Source organism: Homo sapiens, chromosome 17 (genome assembly GCF_000001405.40).
Source record: "Homo sapiens chromosome 17, GRCh38.p14 Primary Assembly".
Taxonomy (NCBI): domain Eukaryota; kingdom Metazoa; phylum Chordata; class Mammalia; order Primates; family Hominidae; genus Homo; species Homo sapiens.
Genome location: NC_000017.11, coordinates 60,915,375 through 60,936,274, shown reverse-complemented (window position 1 = coordinate 60,936,274; position 20,900 = coordinate 60,915,375). Strand labels below are relative to the sequence as shown.

General features: G+C 36.7%; 1 protein-coding gene across 8 annotated transcripts in view; it reads right to left on the bottom strand.

Annotated features, from left to right (window-relative positions):
- Positions 1-20,900, bottom strand: part of BCAS3 (BCAS3 microtubule associated cell migration factor) — a 714,981-nt gene that overhangs the window by 456,557 nt on the left and 237,524 nt on the right. For all 8 annotated transcript variants that reach the window (NM_001353144.2, NM_001353145.2, NM_001330413.2 and 5 more), the window contains exon 13: positions 11,775-11,868. In NM_001353144.2, the coding sequence (NP_001340073.1) occupies positions 11,775-11,868 (94 nt within the window). The remainder of the gene's footprint in view (positions 1-11,774; positions 11,869-20,900) is intronic.

Genomic DNA, 20,900 nt, shown 5'->3' with positions numbered 1-20,900 from the left:
ACCCAAATGTCCAACAATGATAGACTGGATTAAGAAAATGTGGCACATATACACCATGGAATACTATGCAGCCATAAAAAAGGATGAGTTCATGTCCTTTGTAGGGACATGGATGAAGCTGGAAACCATCATTCTCAGCAAACTATCACAAGGACAAAAAACCAAACACTGCATGTTCTCACTCATAGGTAGGAATTGAACAATGAGAACACATGGACACAGGAAGGGGAACATCACACACCAGGGCCTGTTGTGGGGTGGGGGGAAGGGGGGAGGGATAGCATTTGGAGATATACTTAATGTTAAATGACGAGTTACTGGGTGCAGCACACCAACATGGCACATGTATACATATGTAAATAACCTGCATGTTGTGCACATGTACCCTAAAACTTAAAGTATAAAAAAAAAAAAGGTCAGTGAGTCTCAGCTTGGCTAAATGGGTGCTCAAAGAACCATGTATCATAGTACTTAAATGAAAATATAACAGACATGAATCAGGGTTCTGGTCCAAATGTTCAGAAAGTAAGTAACTAAGTAACAAATGATAATGATTAGATGAAAGATAAAGTTTCAAAGATAGTCATCAAGCATGCTGTATCAAATTGTACATCAGTTAACACATTTTGGGTATATGAGCATATGTTGAAAATATTACCAAATGACCAAGTGTCTCTGGAAATTAGGTTTGATTACCTACAGGAGCAGTATCAAAGCATGACTCTGTGACTATGTTACAGAACAAGTATATATAAGAAAAATGGCTGATCCATAAAAAAGATGACTGGGTAGGCAGGCATTCTGTGCACAACCAAATTATATATTTACTTATTCAATGTCTTCTTAGAAACAATCAAAGGAACAAAGAGAAAATTATAAAATCAGTTCATTTTTAATTACTATATCAATTATAGTATAAATTATTTAATTAACTATAATTGTATTTGATAGTATTATTTTACATTGTTGTACTCTTAAAACTATATTAACATCACATTTATTAATTCTCAATTCTAATTGATAAACATTACTTCCACTTTCTTAGCATTCTAGATATCCTTTTTAGACTTCAGATGCATGGAAGAATTAATCAGATTTTTCATTTCGTCTATGTTAATAAGTCCATACATAAACCTTCTCTTGCTATGTGCATTGCATTGCATTGCATTGTATTCCTCTACCTCCTGGGTTCAAACAATTCTCACGCCTCAGCCTCCCAAGTAGCTGGGATTACAGCTACGGGCATGAGCCACCACACCCGGCTGATTTTTGTATTGTTAGTAGAGATGGGGTTTCACCATGTTGGAAGGCTGGTCTGAAGCTCCTGAACCCAAGTGATTCGCCCACCTTGGCTTCCCAAAGTGCTAGGATTACAGGTATGAGTCACTGCACCCAGCCTCTTACTGTTTTTACATTTTCTCTTTGCTTCTCCGTTCCTGCACCCACTCTTCATTTCTCACTGCTCCCGACCACAGGTACCCACCTTACTATATATAATAAATCTCTTTGAAATGAATATATATCTTTGGGAAATATTTAGGCTGTTTTTAGAGCAATGTTCAAAAAATATTTAATGTATGGCAAGATACAGGCCAATCTGAATAAGAATAGTGAAACAAGGTGCCCACCATCCCCCACCAGGGAGGGAGGCTCAGAGGCTACTGGGACAGGCAAGAAGTATTCAAGTACTTCAGTGTTTAACAACTAGTAAGGGTATACTGATAAATGAAAAGTTGAAATCAACAGCTGCTTTGCATGTATGTACCTGACTATACAGATCCTTCTTTACCTTTTGCAAAATTAAATACTATGTTTATATTATTGTAAGTATTTATGTTATATTTGTTGTAGACAGGTCTATTTTTACAGGTATATATGTTGATTTCACATTTTTACATAGTATCCCAATGTATGCATTCACATATTCCATGAGTTCATTCACTATCAACTGAGCACCTTTATTCAATTAAGTGGTAGTGCTGTGGCAATAGTGATGAAGAATGGAAAAGGCTCTTCACTTACTGATGGAACCCAGGGCTACATTAGGACTTTAGGTGGGACCTGGGCATTTTTGTCTTCATGGGCACTCTCCTTCAGGAAAAAATACTTAAAGTTATATTTTTTTACTCCATTCTATTAACTTAAAACCATGTTTTTTTTTCTGCTTTTAAAGAAATCAGAAAATTATAGCGAGGTTCTAAAAGTATTGTGGTCCCTAGACACTGTACCTACTACCTAATCGTAAGTCACCCCTACAAAGATCCCTCTCTTACACAACTACAGTGCCACAATGAACAGAGAGCAAACAGAACTAATTCTTCAGAGAGTAAATCCATTACATGAGTAAAGGACACCACTTTACAAGATGATGAAACAAGAGAGTAAGTACAAACCTACTATGGAAACATCCTCTTCTAATGAAAAAAGGAAATAAATTCTTCAAGTTGCCTTTGCATTGTGAATGAAATAATATAGGTGTCTGGTAGTGATAAACCAGAAGCTGTCAGATTAAAAATCTCAAGCTATGTTATGCTGTAGATCTGTGATGCATTATAGATGTTAAAAATAAATCAAGACATGGTATTTCTCTAACCACTTGCTAGACAATGGGAAAACCTTTATGTCCAAAAAGAAAAACCTAAACTTCTTTAACAATTAACCCAAGACCACAATCACCTTTTAATATGTATCATTTAAGTAACCAGAAGAATTTCAAGTCTGCTAAAGATGCAGCCAAGCATCTAAAGGGGTACATATTTACTCTGTTTTGCTAGAGATTCAACACTCATTTTCCTCTTATTAATGGATGGAAAAGCAATTTCCCTGCCAAGGAGGGGTAATTATTTAAAATGTAGATGTGTTGTACTTTACATTTCTCAGTTGCTCAGCTGGCAGAAGTAATGCCTCTGAAAAGCAAATCAATTATTTACTGAATTAAAGGTTCATGTCAGGCTTATTGCACAGAATTGAGGATTTCTTCCTTATGTTTCTAACGATAGTTTGATAAATAAGAAATAGTTTGTTGTCCAAAAACATAATAGTATACTAATCTATTGTTCTTATTACATAAAAATGTCATTTCCATGGGGTCCTTTTTTTTTTCTTTTTGAGACGGAGTCTCACTCTGTCACTCAAGCTGGAGTACAGTGGCACCATCTCAGCAACCTCTGCCTCCTGGCTCAAGCGAGTCTCCTGCCTCAGCCTCCCCAGTAGCTGGGATTACAGGCGTGTGCCACTACACCCAGCTAATTTTTGTATTTTTAGTAGAGATGAGGTTTCGCCATGTTGGCCAGGCTGGTCTCGAACTCCCAACCTCAAGTAATCCGCCCTCCTCGGCCTCCCAAAGTGTTGGGATTACTGGGATGAGCCACCGCTTCCAGCCTCCATGGGGTATTTTAAATTACTATCTATTACATATTTCAGTTTTAGTTATCTGTGATATGTATCTGCATGTATTATAATTTGCCATCATGTATCACTCCCAATATATAGAGATGGAGACGATTCTTTTTTTTTTTTTTTTTTTTTTTTTGAGACAAGAGTCTCGCTCTGTCGCCCAGGCTGGAGTGCAGTGGCACCATCTTGGCTCACTGCAAGCTCCGCCTCCCAAGTTCATGCCATTCTTCTGCCTCAGTCTCCCAAGCAGCTGAGACTACAGGTGCCCGCCACCACGCCTGGCTAATTTTTTGTATTTTTTAGTAGAGACGGGGTTTCACCATGTTAGCCAGGATGGTCTCGATCTCCTGACCTTGTGATCCACCCGCCTCGGCCTCCCAAAGTGCTGGGATTACAGGCGTGAGCCACCGTGCCCGGCCAGACAATTCTTATTCAAACCACAATTTAGACATAAGTTGATTTTATTCAACAAATGAATAACAACATTGAATAAATGTCTTAATTTTGCCCTGCTATATTTTTTCCATGATTACAATTATGAAGCAATCCAATGTAATTAATTATTGTAATTATTCAATGTACACTTACTCAGTATCAAGTATGTGAAAGCTACTGGGCTAATACTTGGGGACAAAATATTAACAAAAGCTTACCTCTAACAGCGAACACATTGAAAAGATACTCTGATGGATGTAAATAATTTAAAAACTAGGATGAAGGTGATTGATAATAATGAAAACAGAAACAACTAATATCTATTGAGGTTACTCTATTTGTTAGATATTATTTTATTTTTTATTTTTTTTTAGACAGGGTCTTGCTCTGTCACCCAGGCTGGAGCACAGTGGCGCGATCTCAGCTCACTGCAATTTCTGCCTCCCAGGCTTAAGCAATCCCCCTGCCTCAGCCTCCCAAGTAGCTAGACCTACAGGAGTGCACCACTACACCCAGCTAATTTTTGTATTTTTTGTAGAGACAGAGTTTCACCATGTTGCCTAGGCTGGTCTCTAGCTCCTGAGCTCAAGCTATCCACCTGCCTTGGCCTCCCAAAGTATTGAGATTAAAGGTGTGAGCCAGTGCACCTGGCCAGGTATTATTTTAGATATCATTACTAGCCCCCATTTTATTGATGAGGAAACTGAAGCATTGAGTGTGACAAGCAGATTAACTAGCTTGCCCAATTAGGTGACAAGGTGAAGGAGGAAGGGGAACATGACATTTTATGTAGACTCAGGGAAGACTTCTTAAATGATATTTAAGATAGGAATCAGTGTAAGAGTTAGCCAGGCAAAAGAAGATTCCGGCCGGGTGTGGTAGCTCACACCTGTAATCCTAGTACTTTGGGAAGCCAAGGTGGGCAGATTGCCTGAGCTCAGGAGTTTGAGACCAGCCCGTGCAACATGGTGAAATGCCATCGCTACTAAAAATACAAAAAATTAGCAAGGTGTGGTGGCACGTGCCTGTAATCTCAGCTACTCAGGAGCCTGAGGCAGGAAAATCGCTTGAACCCGGGAGGTGGAGGTTGCAGTGAGCTGAAATTGTGCCACTGCACTCCAGCCTAGGCAACAGAGCGAGGTTCCATCTCAAAAAAATAAAAATAAAAAATAAAGTTTATTAATTTTTTTTAAAGTTCCTTGAAAATGTTATTCACTTTGTCCCTGAGAGCAACAAATTTACACTGCCCATATTGAATCTGCCCAGATCTAACCATGGGGATCAATCTGGTACTTCTAAACAAATCATAAATGCTGCCACTAAAATATTTGTTTTAATTCTGGCCTCAAAGTCACAGCTAATAAATAAGAATGGGAATTAAAAAATTGAAAAAAAAATGAATGCAGCTGCTGAACTAGAAGTTTCACAGATCTATTTAATAGCATCACTTCATGTCTTTTCTGAATAGGTCCCATACAAGACAGAAATGTATGCCACCCAGTCAACCAACCTACATGGTCTCCTAAATTCGTTTTGCAGTGTTATTCCATCATGTACATTTTATAGTATTTTTAACGTTTCCCAGGAAGTGGCTATGGGCCTGGTTTGTTCTTGGATTTTGTTGTCCAGGACATGTTTATAATACTGTTGTCTAAAAATATGTCTTTCTTTTAAAAAGACTAAAAGGGCTGGACGCAGTGGCTCACGTCTGTAATCCCAACACTTTGGGAGGCTGAGGCAGGCGGATTACCTGAGGTCAGGAGTTCAAGACCAGCCTAGCCAACATGGCAAAACCCCGTCTCTACTAAAAAAATACAAAAATTAGCTGGGTGCAGTGGCGCACACCTGTAATCCCAGCTACTCAGAAGGCTGGGGCAGGAGAATTGCTTGAACCTGGAGGCGGAGATTGTGGTGAGCCGAGATCACACTACTGCACTCCAGCCTGGGCAACAGAGCAAGACTCCGTCTCAAAAAATGAATGAATGAATGAAGACTAAAAGGAATTTATTTATATTCTTAAGTGTAACAGTGACAAACACAGGTAAACTGGTTTGAGTAAGATCAGCTTTAAAAACAAAAATCATGCAATCAACTTTTTGGCATGTTTTGTTTGTTTTACATAAACTTCCCTAAACTAGTAAAAAGTATTCTAACAAGCAATACTGTTTTTATTAGCCATATTACATACCCCATGAAAATACCTTTAACCAAATTAGATAATTATTAGAGGGTTAAAACTTCCTAATATAAATTTTAAAACATATATGGTTACATGTATGGGTAAAGAAGGACTGGAGTATGTCATTGGAGGATCTATTAGTTATATTTTGGAAAAAGCCAATTTAAATTAAAAATTGTAACTACTGTGTTAAGGCCTATTGAAATTACATATCTTTAAAGACACATGCACACATATGTCTATTGCAGCACTATTCACAATAGCACAGACTTGGAACCAACCCAAATGTCCAACAATGATAGACTGGATTAAGAAAATGTGGCACATATACACCATGGAATACTATGCAGCCATAAAAAATGATGAGTTCATGTCCTTTGTAGGGACATAGATGAAATTGGAAATCATCATTCTCAGTAAACTATTGCAAGGACAAAAAACCAAACACCGCATGTTCTCACTCACAGGTGGGAATTGAACAATGAGAACACATGGACACAGGAAGGGGAACATCACACTCTGGGGACTGTTGTGGGGTGGGGGGAGGGGGGAGGGATAGCATTAGGAGATATACCTAATGCTAAATGACGAGTTAATGGGTGCAGCACACCAGCATGGCACATGTATACATATGTAACTAACCTGCACATTGTGCACATGTACCCTAAAACTTAATGTATAATAATAATAAAATAAACAAATTAAAAATTAAAATAAAAAAGAAATTACATATCTTTTTATAAAACGTCAATTAATAAAAGTTCAGAAGCTAACAAATATAATTCAGCCAGTGTGCAGAGAACTACCTCATTTTACTTAATTTTTTAATTTTTTTTCCAGACAGGCTCTTACTCTGTAACCCAGGCTAGAGTGCAATGGTGGGATCAGAGCTCACTGCAGCCTTAACTTCTTGGTTCAAGCAAGTCTTCCATCTCAGCCTCCCAATTAAGTAGCTGGGACTACAGGCACGTGCCACCACGCCCAGGTAATTTTTTAAAATTTTTTTTAGATACAGGATCTTGGTATGTTGGCCAGGCTGGTCTCAAACTCCTGGCCTCAAGTGTTGGTCCCCCCATCTCAGCCTCCTGGGTCACTGGGATTATAAGCAATGTGCCCGGCTCCTACCTCATTTTATAATGTCGCATTTCTTAATCACATTAGTAAACTTATGATTTACTAGTGGGAAGGACTTAAATGAAGAGTGCTAGAAAATACATCATTTTATCTCACAAAAACATTTTTAAAACTGTAAGACAAATAATAATTTAAGGGAAAAAACCCAGCTACTGAGGTATCTATGCATTTACAAATAGCAATGCAGTTTCCTCACTAAAACATGTCCTCTATGTATGTGTGTGTATATGTATGTACACCAATCAGAAGGGTTAGAAGAGTAAATATGAACCAGAAACTAGCAAAGCAAAATAAAATGTCACCTAATGATACAAGCTGATTAATGGTTAGAAGCCATGGCTAACCCCAATTACTTTTTGTACAAAGCTGGGTAGCTGCTGACTAGCACTTGCTAATTAAAAAAAGAAGGAAAAAATCCAGACTTCCACATCATTGAGAATTGAGCACTTTCTGCATCCTTGCTCATAATCAAGTAATAAGTCAATATTCAGAACAGCAAAAATACTCAAAGCTGAAAGTAAATAATTAAGAAGAATTGTAAGTAATTGCTTACCAGCTACTATAAAGCATTGTGCAAACCAACTGTATGAGTGGTTGCTGAGTTATAAACCCTCCACTGAATACAGATATCTAAACAGGCATGAAGGATTTATAAAATGTTGCAGAAATGAGAACACATTGAAAAACATATCTGTGCACAACAAACTAATGAGTCCACTATACAGACTATGGTTCACAATCTATTTCAAATGTACCATATTTTTCTTGCCTCTTTCATTCAAATAATATTTATGGTGCCAGGCACTGAATCATTATTTTCTAATCTTTTAGGTCCCAGCTTGGAATTGATTTCCTTTTGAAGAACTATCTCCAAAACCAGGCTAATATTTATCCCCTAGCATGCTGTCCTTCCTCCACAAAGGGTTTTCCTTCCTTAAGACCCTGTTTGTGCATTTGCAACTAACCAGCAAGCAGACTCTATGCATAGGGACTATCTCTTATTAAGTGAATTAACAAGACTTAGCCAGACAAGGTGAATAGAGTCACTAGTGAAAGAGGTATCTTCCAATGTGCTAGCTGAAACGGGTAAAATCACATCAGCAAGCTTCAACCTTTTTGATAAAGGGTTCTAAAACATTTCTGTAGTGTGGATCCTTTTAGCAAGCCAAGAACCACTTTCCCAGAATGAAATTAAAACACAAAATATAATACTTAAGATTTTAAAAAATTAAAATATAAGTAGTATAAGGGCTTTTTTGTTAATATATTAAATTATAGGCTCTATCATAATTTTGAAGCATAAGCAATATTTAGAGAATTATATATAAATGTGAAATGATATAAAAATAACCATTATTTTCATCACTCACAAGTTTACAGGTACAGTTAACTAATTAGCATCTCCATATAGGATTATTTCCAATGATATTAACAGGCTTCATAGATTGCTATATGAAACAATTATGTAATACCAGAACAAGGAAACTCTATACACCATGAACCATTTCAAAGTGAATAAATTCCAGAAGAACTTTAGTAGAATCTCATCAAAATTTCTATAGAAAAATAAGGAAAGGACCAGGGGTGGTGGCTCATGCCTGTAATCCCAGCACTTTGGGAGACCGAGGCAAGTGGATCACGAGGTCAACAGATCGAGACCACACTAGCCAACATGGTGAAACCCCGTCTCTACTAAAAATACAAAAAAAAATTAGCTGGGCGTGGTACACGCCTGTAGTCCCAGCTACTTGGCAGGCTGAGGCACAAGGATCGCTTGAACCTGGGAGGCGGAGGTTGCAGTGAGCTGAGATCGTGCCACTGCACTCCAGCCTGGCAAAAGAGCGAGACCCTGTCTCAAAAAAAAAACAAACAAAAAACAAAAAAAGAAAGAAAGAAAGAAAAAAATAAATAAAAGAATTTAAAAATACTGAACTGACCTATCACTTTCATTGTCAAAATAGAGACTACCATGCCTAATACAGTGCCATACATCTACAGTGGGGAATAGTTCAAAATAATTCACTAAGTTTCCTATTACTCTGAGACACCATGCCAAGCACTAGAGATACAAAGATTAATGACATCTGATCTCTTTGTAGGAGGAACAGATAAGTTAGCAAGGGAAACAAATATTTAAACAAATGATTGTCACAAAATAAATTACATCATAGTTATAAACCTAGTGTCCCAGCAACACAGAAAAATAGGTATAAATATTGCTATTTTTAACCTTATCGTATAAACACAAATGTGAGAGGACAAAGAAATCAAATGGCAAATGTAGATCAAAATTATGAAACCATTTTATGACGACTACAACACTCTTTATATTATATAATATGTTCTTCTTATAATGCAAAGTCACAGGAAAAAAATACAGCTGCCAGTGTCAGAAGCACTGTAGGGTTATATGAAATATACACTAACACAAAGGAGATCTGACATAACAGATGGAATATCAATATGAGTCATACCGGTCATTCCAAGTGGAGTGCTACAAGTGACATAACTTCCAGGCTGTTTTTTCACATTTAACTTAATTCCCACAACACTCACAGAATTTCAATAAATCTTGCCTTTATTAATTAAATCAATCCTACTGATTACCAATCACTATAAAAATCCTGTTCCCTTAATCAAAGATGACTTATTAAGATATTAGAGGGTAGATTATTTAAAGTGCTTTATAAAATAATATCTCTATATAATGATAATCCCTTACTATCATTCTTTATTTGAAAAGATGAAAAGAAGGGGAAAAGGATTGGCTTTTCCCATCAATTTTAAGTGATATAATCATTTCTGAAAACTAAGATTAAAAGTAGCATGCTCCTTAGATACATCAACCAAATGGGTAAGATCTGAAAAGACTGCAAGTTTATGATGACTATACCAGCTCTGAAAACAAAAGAGCAGTTTTATTTACAAAGTATTTTTAAAATACAGATTGAGCATTCCTAATCTGAAAAACCAAAATCCTCACAGAAATTTATGTTCTTCTTATAATGCAAACCAAAATGCTCTGAAATGCTCCAGAACTGGAGCACTGACATGATGCCACAACTGGAGAATCCACACCTGACCTCATGTACAAAGTCTCAGTTAAAACGGAGTCAAAACTATGTTTCATGCACAAAATCACTTAAAATATTGTACAAAATCACCTTCAGGCTATGTGTATAGGGTATACATGAAACAAATAAATTTTGTATTTAGACTTGGGTCCCACCGCCAAGATAACTCATTATATATGCAAATATTCCAAAATCAAAAAAAAAAAATCTAAAATCAGAAAGACTTCTAGTCCCAAGCATTTCAGACATAAAGTACTCAACCTGTAACTTGTTTCCTACCACTGGAAGTATTACACCAACTCCTTACTGTGAAAATTGGTCATTTAAAAGAAAAAGAGAGAGAGAGAATTAGGCATTTATACCACTTTTGATATACAGGAGAAAGGCTGTTTACTCCTGGCTGATGAGAGAAAACGTTTTCTATAGAAGAATAACAGTCAATAAATGCAGAGACCAGGACAGAATTAAGAAAACAACCCACCATTCTACAACCTTCAATGTAACAAAATTATTAATTAAAAAGTTGCTTCAGAAATAATGTCAAAATGACATACTGTAGAGTACTTGTTAATCTCCATAAGAAAAACCTATTTCCAATAATGTAGATACTTGATAGTCATTACTTTACTCATGTGATCAAATATAGCACCACAAATAGGGAGACAACCTAAAATAATGTGTCTCCTATTGGGATGAAATGATGTAGACGCAATACTTACGAAGTTTAGAAACAAACAAACAAAAACTCCTTAGCCTGAATGGATTTATACCTCTAGACTTAACTTCCAGTTAAACAGATAGATATCCAGGGAATGGAGAAATACAAAAACATTATCATAATGAAAAAAATCTGGCCAAGCATCGTGGCAATACTTTGGGAGGCTAAGGCAGGAGAATTACTTGAGGCCAGGAGTTCAGGACCAGCCTGGGCAGCATAGTGAGACTCTGTCTTTATCTTTTTTTAAAAAAATAGTAAAATAAAAATTTAAAAATCTTACAAATGCAGAATTTAAATAAGACAACTACTCTGGATATTGTGAAAAGAAAATTAAGAGTACAAATTGTATGCTATATTAAAAGGAACTAAAAAGATATAACAAAATGTAAGGAGTAAACCTTAAGAAGAAAAAGAAAAAGAGCACCACTAAAAAAAAAACCGAGAAAATTAAATTAGCTTACAAAGTGTTGTAAGTTAGTTACACAAAACTTCAAGTTACAAAAAAAAAATACTGCTCATATCCATTAATATTCTAGTTTGGAATACTGAAGTTCTTGGAGTAATTATAAACAGAAATTCATGTAACTCAACAGCATTGTTTAAATGGCTGCTATTTAATAGCTACTTTATCGAGAACAAAACCAATTTTAGAGGGATTTTAGAGGGGTACTAAATTTTTATTATAAATTCCTTTATTCAATATAATGACTTAATAACTTTTCTGATATATACTGATACATGAAGAAAAGTCAGATTCCATATTCCATATTTGGCTGGAAAACCCATTATATAAATGGTCTACAAAAAAAAAAAAAAAAAAGACAGAGAGCGAACTTACCACTTGTATTAAAAGCCATGCAGCACACTGGCTTCTCATGGGCAGGGAAGTGGGCCACAATGCCATCACTGTCAGAATCCTCACTCACAAGCACCTTCACAAAGAAATAAAGACAAATGGAGGTAAATATTTTCTCACTGATAACCGAGCTTGAAGCCTATAAGAAGGCACATCACAAACCACTGACCAAATAACATGTTTCCACTCTAGCAGATTATTCTTGCCAATATAAGGAGAGAATTCCACTTTAGAATTGAGGAAGAGATATAACATGCCCCCACGCACATCAGTCATATAAACTCTAAAAAGAGTCAGCTGACTTGACTGTAGATGACAGAAACAATTACTTCTTCAAGTATAGGTTCAGAGGAAAAAAAATGATACAATCAACTATTTTCAATTCTTTACAAAATGTAATCACTTAGCGCTTTATCCAAGGACAGGAAATACAGGTCTTACTGTGTTATGCGATCTGCTGGGAAATCACAATTTTTTGCCCCTTATTGAAATATAAGAATGGGGGGGAAACAACATAATTTGTTAAACATAAATAAACAGGTGTATAGAGAAATCATCCAATAACATTTTCATATTATAGTATGAAAGTCGTGTTCTTCAACTCTCAGTTTCTAGAGAGAAATAGAACTTCTTTGAAATGACTATGAAATCATAAAAGCAGAGGTACATTAGAATAGGTACCTCTGTATCTCAAATGGAGTTTCTTTTATTCACTCCTCTTAATTTTTAAGGCTACACTGAAATATAATTTACATTCCATATAATTTCCCATCATAAGTTCAACAACTTTTTAAAAATTGTTTTACTTATCTAATGTTTCAGAAAGAAAACCTATTACACCAATTTTGGATCATAATATTTAGACACAGAGAAATTTGATTTTAAGTAGCCTTGGAAGTTGTCCTACACTGGCAACGCTATTTTTTTCTCTCAAAAATGCATGTTAAGAGTCAAGTCTTACTATGTGTAAAATACTCTGCTTAGAGCTCAGAATATAAACCAAATGTTATTCCTGCCCTGAAAGATACAGAGCAAATGACCAGAACAGTTATTTTATCAGTTACAACATATATGCAAATACAGCCCAAAAAAACAATGTACTTAAGCACTGAGATAGTATTTGTGAGTGAAAGCTTTACAAAGATACAACTTGCACACCACAAAAGCTACCCGTTTTAACTGTGCAGGTCAATCATGCTATACAATATCATAAACAACAAGCCATCATAAAAATGTCTGAAACATTATCCTGTCAGATCTTTATGCCTTATTGATCTAGCTAGAACCTCCAATTCAATCTAGCTACAAATACATTGATTATATTGATCTTTTCAAATAACCAATTTTAGACTTTTCCAATATTTCACTGTTTACTGTTCCATCAGCTTCTATCCAGATCTTTATTATTTGCTTCATTAGTCTTGCATTGGTTATAATTTGCTCCTTTTTATAATCTTTTAAGGGAAACACTTAGATTATTAATTTCAGGCCATTTTCTTGTCCTAATATAAGCATTTAAAGCTGTAAATTTTCTTCCATATAACACTATAGTTATACTCCATAAATTTTTATATGTTCTGTTTTCATTTTCATTCAATTCAAAATATTTGCTAATGTCCCTAAGCTTCTTTCTTTGACCCATGAGTTATTTACAAGTGCGTTTTATTTCCAAATATTTGGAGATTCCCCAAATCGAATTTTGTTATTGATTTCCATTGTCCTTAGAGAAATACTCCGCATGACTTTAATCCTTTTAAAGTTATTAAGATCTGTTTCATGGCCAAGCATCTGTTCTATCATGTACAATGAATGTCTCAGATGTTTTTGAAAATAATGTGCATTCTGCAGTTTTGGGTGGTCAAGTTAGAAAATAGTGTTAATCATGTCTTCTAAGTCTTTTCTAATTTTCTATCTAGTTGTTCTATCAATTATTTTTTAATAGAGAAATAGTCGTACATGTTTACTAACATGCATGTGGAAAATTACAGAGTGCTTATTCCTATCAATTAATGAGAATAAATTATGTAAATCTTGAGCTGTAATAAAGAGCTAAAATTGGGCCAGGCGCGGTGGCTCATGCCTGTAATCCCAGCACTTTGGGAGGCCGAGGCAGGGGGATCACGAGGTCAGGAGTTCGAGACCAGCCTGACCAATATAGTGAAACCCTGTCTCTACTAAAACTACAAAAATTAGCCGGACATGGTGGCGCGTGCCTGTAATCCCAGCTACTCAGGAGGCTGAGGCAGGAGAATTGCTTGAACCCAGGAGGCGGAGGTTGCAGTGAGCTGAGATCGTGCCATTGCACTCCAGCCTGGGCAACAGAGCAAGACTCTGTCTCAAAAAAAAAAGAGCTAAAATTTCTTCTTTCAATTTTGTCAGATTTTGTTCAATGTTTTTAGTGGCTGTGTTGTTAGGTATTTATATACTAATAATTGTTTTATTAATTATACATATTAATAGTGGTTTTCCAGAACAAGTATTACTGAGAAAAAAAAAGAAAAAAATGTTTTATCTGTATTATGTGTTAACAATTGTTTTATTATATTGACCCTTTTATCGTGAATGAAATGTCTCTCTTTTACTCCAGTAATACTTCTTGACGTAAAGTCTTTAATATTACTATGGCCACTCTAATTCTATTATGGTTATTGTTTACATGTTTTTTTTTTAATTTCAACTTTTAGATACAAGGGGTGCATGTGCAGGTTTGTTACATGGATATATTGCACCCAGGTAGTGAGCATAGTACCCAATAGGAACCCATACTCCTCCTTCCTCCCTCCCCACTCTAGTAGTCTGCAGTGTCTATTAATAGTTCCCATGTTTATGTCCATGTGTGGTCAATGTTTTTTTTTTTTTTTTTTTTTTTTGAGACGGAGTCTCGCTCTGTCGCCCAGGCTGGAGTGCAGTGGCGGGATCTCGGCTCACTGCAAGCTCCGCCTCCCGGGTTCACGCCATTCTCCTGCCTCAGCCTCCCAAGTAGCTGGGACTACAGGCGCCCGCCACTACGCCCGGCTAATTTTTTGTATTTTTAGTAGAGACGGGGTTTCACCGTTTTAGCCGGGATGGTCTCGATCTCCTGACCTTGTGATCCGCCCGCCTCGGCCTCCCAACGTGGTGTGGTCAATGTTTAGCTCCCACTTATAAGTGAGAATATGGAGTATTTGGTTTTTCATTTCTCCATTGATTTGCTTAAGGTTTTGGCCTCCAGCTCCACACATGCTGCTGTAAATGACATGATTTCATTCTCTTTATGGCTGTGTAGTATTCCATGGTGATGAATAGCACATTTCCTTTATTGAATCCACTGCTGGCGGGCACTTAGGCTGATTCCATGTCTTTGCTATTGTTAATAGCATGGTGATTAATATACATGTCTCTTTTTGGTAGAGCCATTTATTTTCCTATGGGTATATACCCATTAGTGGGATTGCTGGGTCAAGTGGTAGCTTTGTTTAAGTTGAGAAGTCTCCAAACTGCTTTCCACAGTGGCTGAACTAATTCAGATGCCCACCAGCAGTGTATACGTGTTCCCTTTTCTCCACAGCCCCACCAGTATCTGTTGTTGTTGTTGTTGTTGTTGTTGTTGTTGTTGTTGTTGTTGTTGTTGTTTGCGATGGAGTCTTGCTCTGTCGCCCAGGCTGGAGTGCAGTGGCATGATCTCGGTTCACTGCAACCTCTGCCTCCTGGGTTCAAGCGATTCTCCTGCCTCAGCCTCCCGAGTAGCTGGGACTATGGGCACCCGCCACCACGCCCAGCTAATTTTTTGTGTTTTTAGTAGAGACGGGATTTCACTGTGTTAGCCAGGATGGTCTTGATCTCCCGACCTCGTGATCTGCCTGCCTCGGCCTCCCAAAGTGCTGGGATTACAGGCATGAGCCACCAGGCCCAGCCAGTTTTTGACTTTTTAATAACAGCCATTCTGACTGGTGTTAAGGTGGCATCTCATGTGGCTTTGATTAGCATTTCCCTGATGATGAGAGATGATGAGCATTTTTCCATATGTTTGTTGGCCCATACGTATGTCTTCTTTTAAGAAGTGTATGTGTGTCCTTTGCCCATTTTTAATGGGGTTATTTGTTCTTGTTGATTTAAGTTCCTTACAGATGCTGGATATTAGACCTTTATCAGATAAACCATTTGCAAACATTTTCTCCCATTAAGTAGTTGTCTGTTTGCTCTGTTGATAGTTTATTTTGCTGTGCAGAAGCTCTTTAGTTTAATCAGGTATCATTTGTCAATATTTGTTTTTGGTTGCAATCGCTTTTGGGGACTCAGCCAAAAATTCTTTACCAAAGCAGATGTCAAAAAGGGTATTTCCTAGGTTTTCATCTATGATTTTTAGTTTGAGGTCTTACATTAAAATTTTTAAAGCATGTGATATATTTTTTACCATCTTTTTATTTTCAAACAAGTGGTCTTTGAATCTGAAGCAATTTGGGTCTGATACATTTGCCATTAATATATTGTTGGTATAACTGGATTTTAAGTTTGCCATTTTACTATGTATATTTATATGTCTTAGGTGTTTGTTGTTCCTCCTATCTTCTTTTGTGTTTAGAAAATATTTTTAGCATTAATATTTTAAGTCCTCTGTTACTTTTTCTGAGTAATTTCTTAGCGGTAGTTGGAGGGATTACAATATGCATATTAACTTATCATCTATTTCAGGTTAATATTGATTAAATTCCAGTAAAATACAGCTCATTGATTGAATATACTGGCATCTGCTACCTACTCCTTTGAGTTATTATCTTCCTATGTATTACCAATTTAAAAATACCTTGTCATTATTTTAAAAAAAAAAACACACAGGAAAAAGCCTTCCCCTATGAAAGCCAATTTTAAAAATTAGAAGTGGGCCGGGCATGGTGGCTCACGCCTATAATCCCAGCACTTTGGGAGGCCAAGGCGGGTAGATCACGAGCTCAAGAGATCGAGACCATCCTGGCCAACATGGTGAAACCTCGTCTCTACTAAAAACACAAAAATTAGCTGGGCGTGGTGGCACACACCTGTAGTCCCAGATGCTCGGGAGGCTGAGCAGAAGAATCACTTAAACCTGGGAGGCAGAGGTTGCAGTGAACTGAGATCGCACCACTGCACCACTCCAACCTGGCAACAGACCGAGACTTCGTCTCAAGAAAAAAAAAATTAGAAGTGTTATACCTGATGCACAGACATCAATGAAAGGACACAAGAAATATGAAAAAGCAAGGAAATATGACACCTCCAAAGAAACACAATCTTCCAACAATAGGTTTTAACCCCCCCAAAAAATGTATAAAATGCCTGAAAAAGAATTGAAAAATAATGATATTAAAGAAGCCCAGTGAGATACAAGCAGACACAGACAACATTACAAAGAAATAAGAAAAACAATTCAGGATATGAAAAAGAAATTCACCAAAGAGATAGATCTCATAAGAAAGAACCAAACAGAAATCCATAAACTGAATAACTCAATGAATGACATAAAAATACAAGTGAGTCCAGGTGCAGTGGCTCACGCCTGTAATCCCAGCACTTTGGGAGGCTGAGGCGGGTGGATCACGAGGTCAGGAGATCGGGACCATCCTGGCTAACATGGTGAAACTCCGTCTCTACTAAAAAATACACAAAATTAGTTGGGCATTGTGGCGGGTGCCTGTAGTCCCAGCTACTCAGGAGGCTGAGGCAGGAGAATACCGTAAACCCGGGATGCGGAGCTTGCAGTGAGCCAAGATCGCGCCACTGCACTCCAGCGTGGGTGACAGAGCAAGACTCCATCTCAAAAAAAAAAAAAAAAAAATTGAGAAGCTTCAACAATAGACTAGATGAAACAGAAGAAAGAGATTTCAGTTTGACAGACAGGCCTTTCAAACTAACCCAGTCAGACAAAAGAAAAAGAAAAAGAAAAAAAGAATGAAGAAAGACAGGTTGGGTACAAATGTACACTCAGATCAAAGGAATAAGTTCTAACATTCCATAGTAGAGTGACAATAGTTAACAACAATACCTGGTACATTTAAAAACAGCTAGTAGTGAAGACTTAAAATGTTCTCTACACATAGAAATGCTAAGTGCTCATGGTGATATATATCCTAAATACCCTGATTTGATGATTAGACGTTCTATGCATATAACAAAATATCACATGTACCCCAAAAATTTGTACAAATATTATGTATCAATTTTTTAAAGATAACCAAATGGCCAATAAGCAAATGAGAAGAGGCTTAACATCACTATTCCTTAGGTAAATGCAAATTAAAACCATGATGAGATACTACTTTGCACTCATTAGGATGGCCATTTACATCATTAGGATGGCCATTATTTTTAAAAAGAAAAATAACTAGTGTTGGGGTAAGGATATACGAGAAATTGAGACCCTTATCCATCATTGGACGTTCACTGGTGGGAATTTAAAATGGTCCAGCCACTGTGAAAAATAGCTTGGTAATTCCTCAAAAAATTAAATATAGAATTACCATATGATCCAGCAATTTGACTTTTAGGTACATAACCAAAAGTATTACAAGTAGAGACTCAATTAGAAATGTGTACACCAATGTTCACACAAGCATTATTCAAAATTGGCGAAAGGTGGCGGGGCACGGTAGCTCATGCTTGTAATCCCAGCACTTTGGGACACCAAGGCAGGCAGATCACTTGAGGTCAGGAGTTTGAGACCAGCCTAGCCAACATAGCGAAACCTTGTCTCTACAAAAAATACAAGAATTAGCCAGACATGGTGGCAGATGCCTGTAATCCAGCTACTTGGGAGGCTGAGGCAAGAGAATCGCTTGAACCCAAGAGGCAGCAGTTGCAGTGGGCCAACATTGTGCCACTGCACTCCAGCCTTGGTAACAGAGCAAGACTCCATTTCAATAAAAAAAAAAAAATTGGCAAAAGGTAGAAGTAAGCCAAATGTCCATCAATAAGTAAATGGATAAACAAAATGTAGTATACACATTCAGTGGAATATTATGGAGCCTTTAAAAAGTATGAAATTCTGATATATGTTACGACAGGTATGAACCTTGAAAATATTATGCTAAGTGAAATAAACCAGACACAAAAGGATGAATACTGTAGGATTGCACTATGTGATATACCTAGAAACAGGCAAATTCAAACACAGAAAGTAGAATGCTGGTTACCAGGGCCTGGGAAACAGAGTACTGGGAAGTTATTGTTTAATGGGCAGAGACTTTCAGTTTCAGATGGTGAAAAAGTTTTGGAAAGGGATAGTGCCTGTACTGATAATTATATAACACTACAAATGTACTTAATGCCACTAAAATGTACATTTTATATTGTTAAATAATATTATATTGTTTGCATATACCACATTTTATTTATCCACCCATTCATCAGTTGATGAATATTTAGATTTTTTTCTACTTTTTGGCTATTGCAAACAATGCTGCAAATATTCAGAGTTTTATCGTAGATATATATTAGTCATATAACTCTGTTTAACATTTTGGGAAGAACTTTGAAACTCTTTTACAAAGTGAATGCACAATTCTGACTAGCAGGTTAGAAGGGTCCCAATTTCTGCTTATCAGCCACAGGTATATCTTTTTCAAAGAAATGTTTATTCAAATCCATTGCTCATTGAAAATTAGGTAGTCTTTTTATTTTTGAGTTATAAGAGTTCTTCACATATTGTGAATACTGGTACCTTATCAAAAATATGATTTACAAATATTTTCTCCCCTTCTGTGAGTTGTCTTTTCATTTTCTTGATTGTGTCCACTGTAGCATAAATTTTGATTTTTATAAAGTTCAATTTATGTCCCCATTTTTTAAAATATAAAAATATTAAGTATTTCTTACACACACATCGGTCAACACACATCAGATGATGTTACAATTTCTAACGCAATCATCAAATATAATCTTATAAATTCATTAAAAAGGATATCTCACATATACCTTTATTTTTACCCACCCCATTGTTGTTCTTTCATTTTTGAAGTTCTAAGCCTTCTTTTATTGTCATTTCCTTGGAAAACTTTTTGCCATTTTTAAGAGTTGATCTGCGAGTGATAGGTTCTCTTAGTTTTCCTTTTTCTAAGAATGCCTTTATTTCCCTTTCATTTCTGAAGTATATTTTCACTACAAATGGAATTTGGGGCTACCAGTTCATTTATTTCAGTACTTTAAAGATATTGTACCACTTTCTTCAGCTTCCATGGATTCAGTTGGGAAATCTGCTGTCTATCATACAGTGCTGGTGGGAATATAAAATAGCACAGGCACTTTGGAAAATAGTTGCACATTTCCTTTCTAAAAGTGCACTTATACAACTCAGCAATACTCTTGGGCATTTACAGAGAAATGAAAACATATCCACATTAAAAACCTTTACACAAATGATCACGACAGCTTTATTCATAATAGAAAAATGCTAGAAACAGTGCAAATGTCCTTCAAGGGGTGAATAATTGAACAAACTGACACATTCATACAATGGAATACAACAGAGTGATTGAAAAGTACAAACTACAGCTGGGCGCGGTGGCTCACACCTGTAATTCCAGCCCTTTGGGAGGCTGAGGTGGGCAGATCACGAGGTCAGGAGATTGAGACCATCCTGGCTAACATGGCGAAACCCCGTCTCTACTAAAAAATACATAAAATTAGCTAGGTGTGGTGGCGGGCACCTGTAGTCCCAGCTACTCAGGAGGCTGAGACAGGAGAATGGCATGAACCCAGGAGGCAGAGCTTGCAGTGAGCCAAGATCGCGCCACTGCACTCCAGCCTGGGCGACAGAGTGAGACTCTGTCTCAAAAAAAAAAAAAGAAAAGAAAAAAAGTACGAACTACATGCTGCAACCTGAATGGACTTCAAAGACAATATATTTAGTGTAAAAAGTCCATCTTAAAATATTACATAATGTATTATTCAATTTGCATAACGTTGTCAGAGTCATAAAACTATAGAGATGGAAAACAGATTAGTGGTTATCAGGAAAAAGGGATGGGGTGGGATGAGGGATGCTCATGAAATACAAAGAAGTATGCGTTGATGAAACAGTTTAGAACAGTCCTGTATCTTAACTGTGGTGGGGGTTACATGAATGTATACATGGGATAAAATTTCACAGCCCTATAC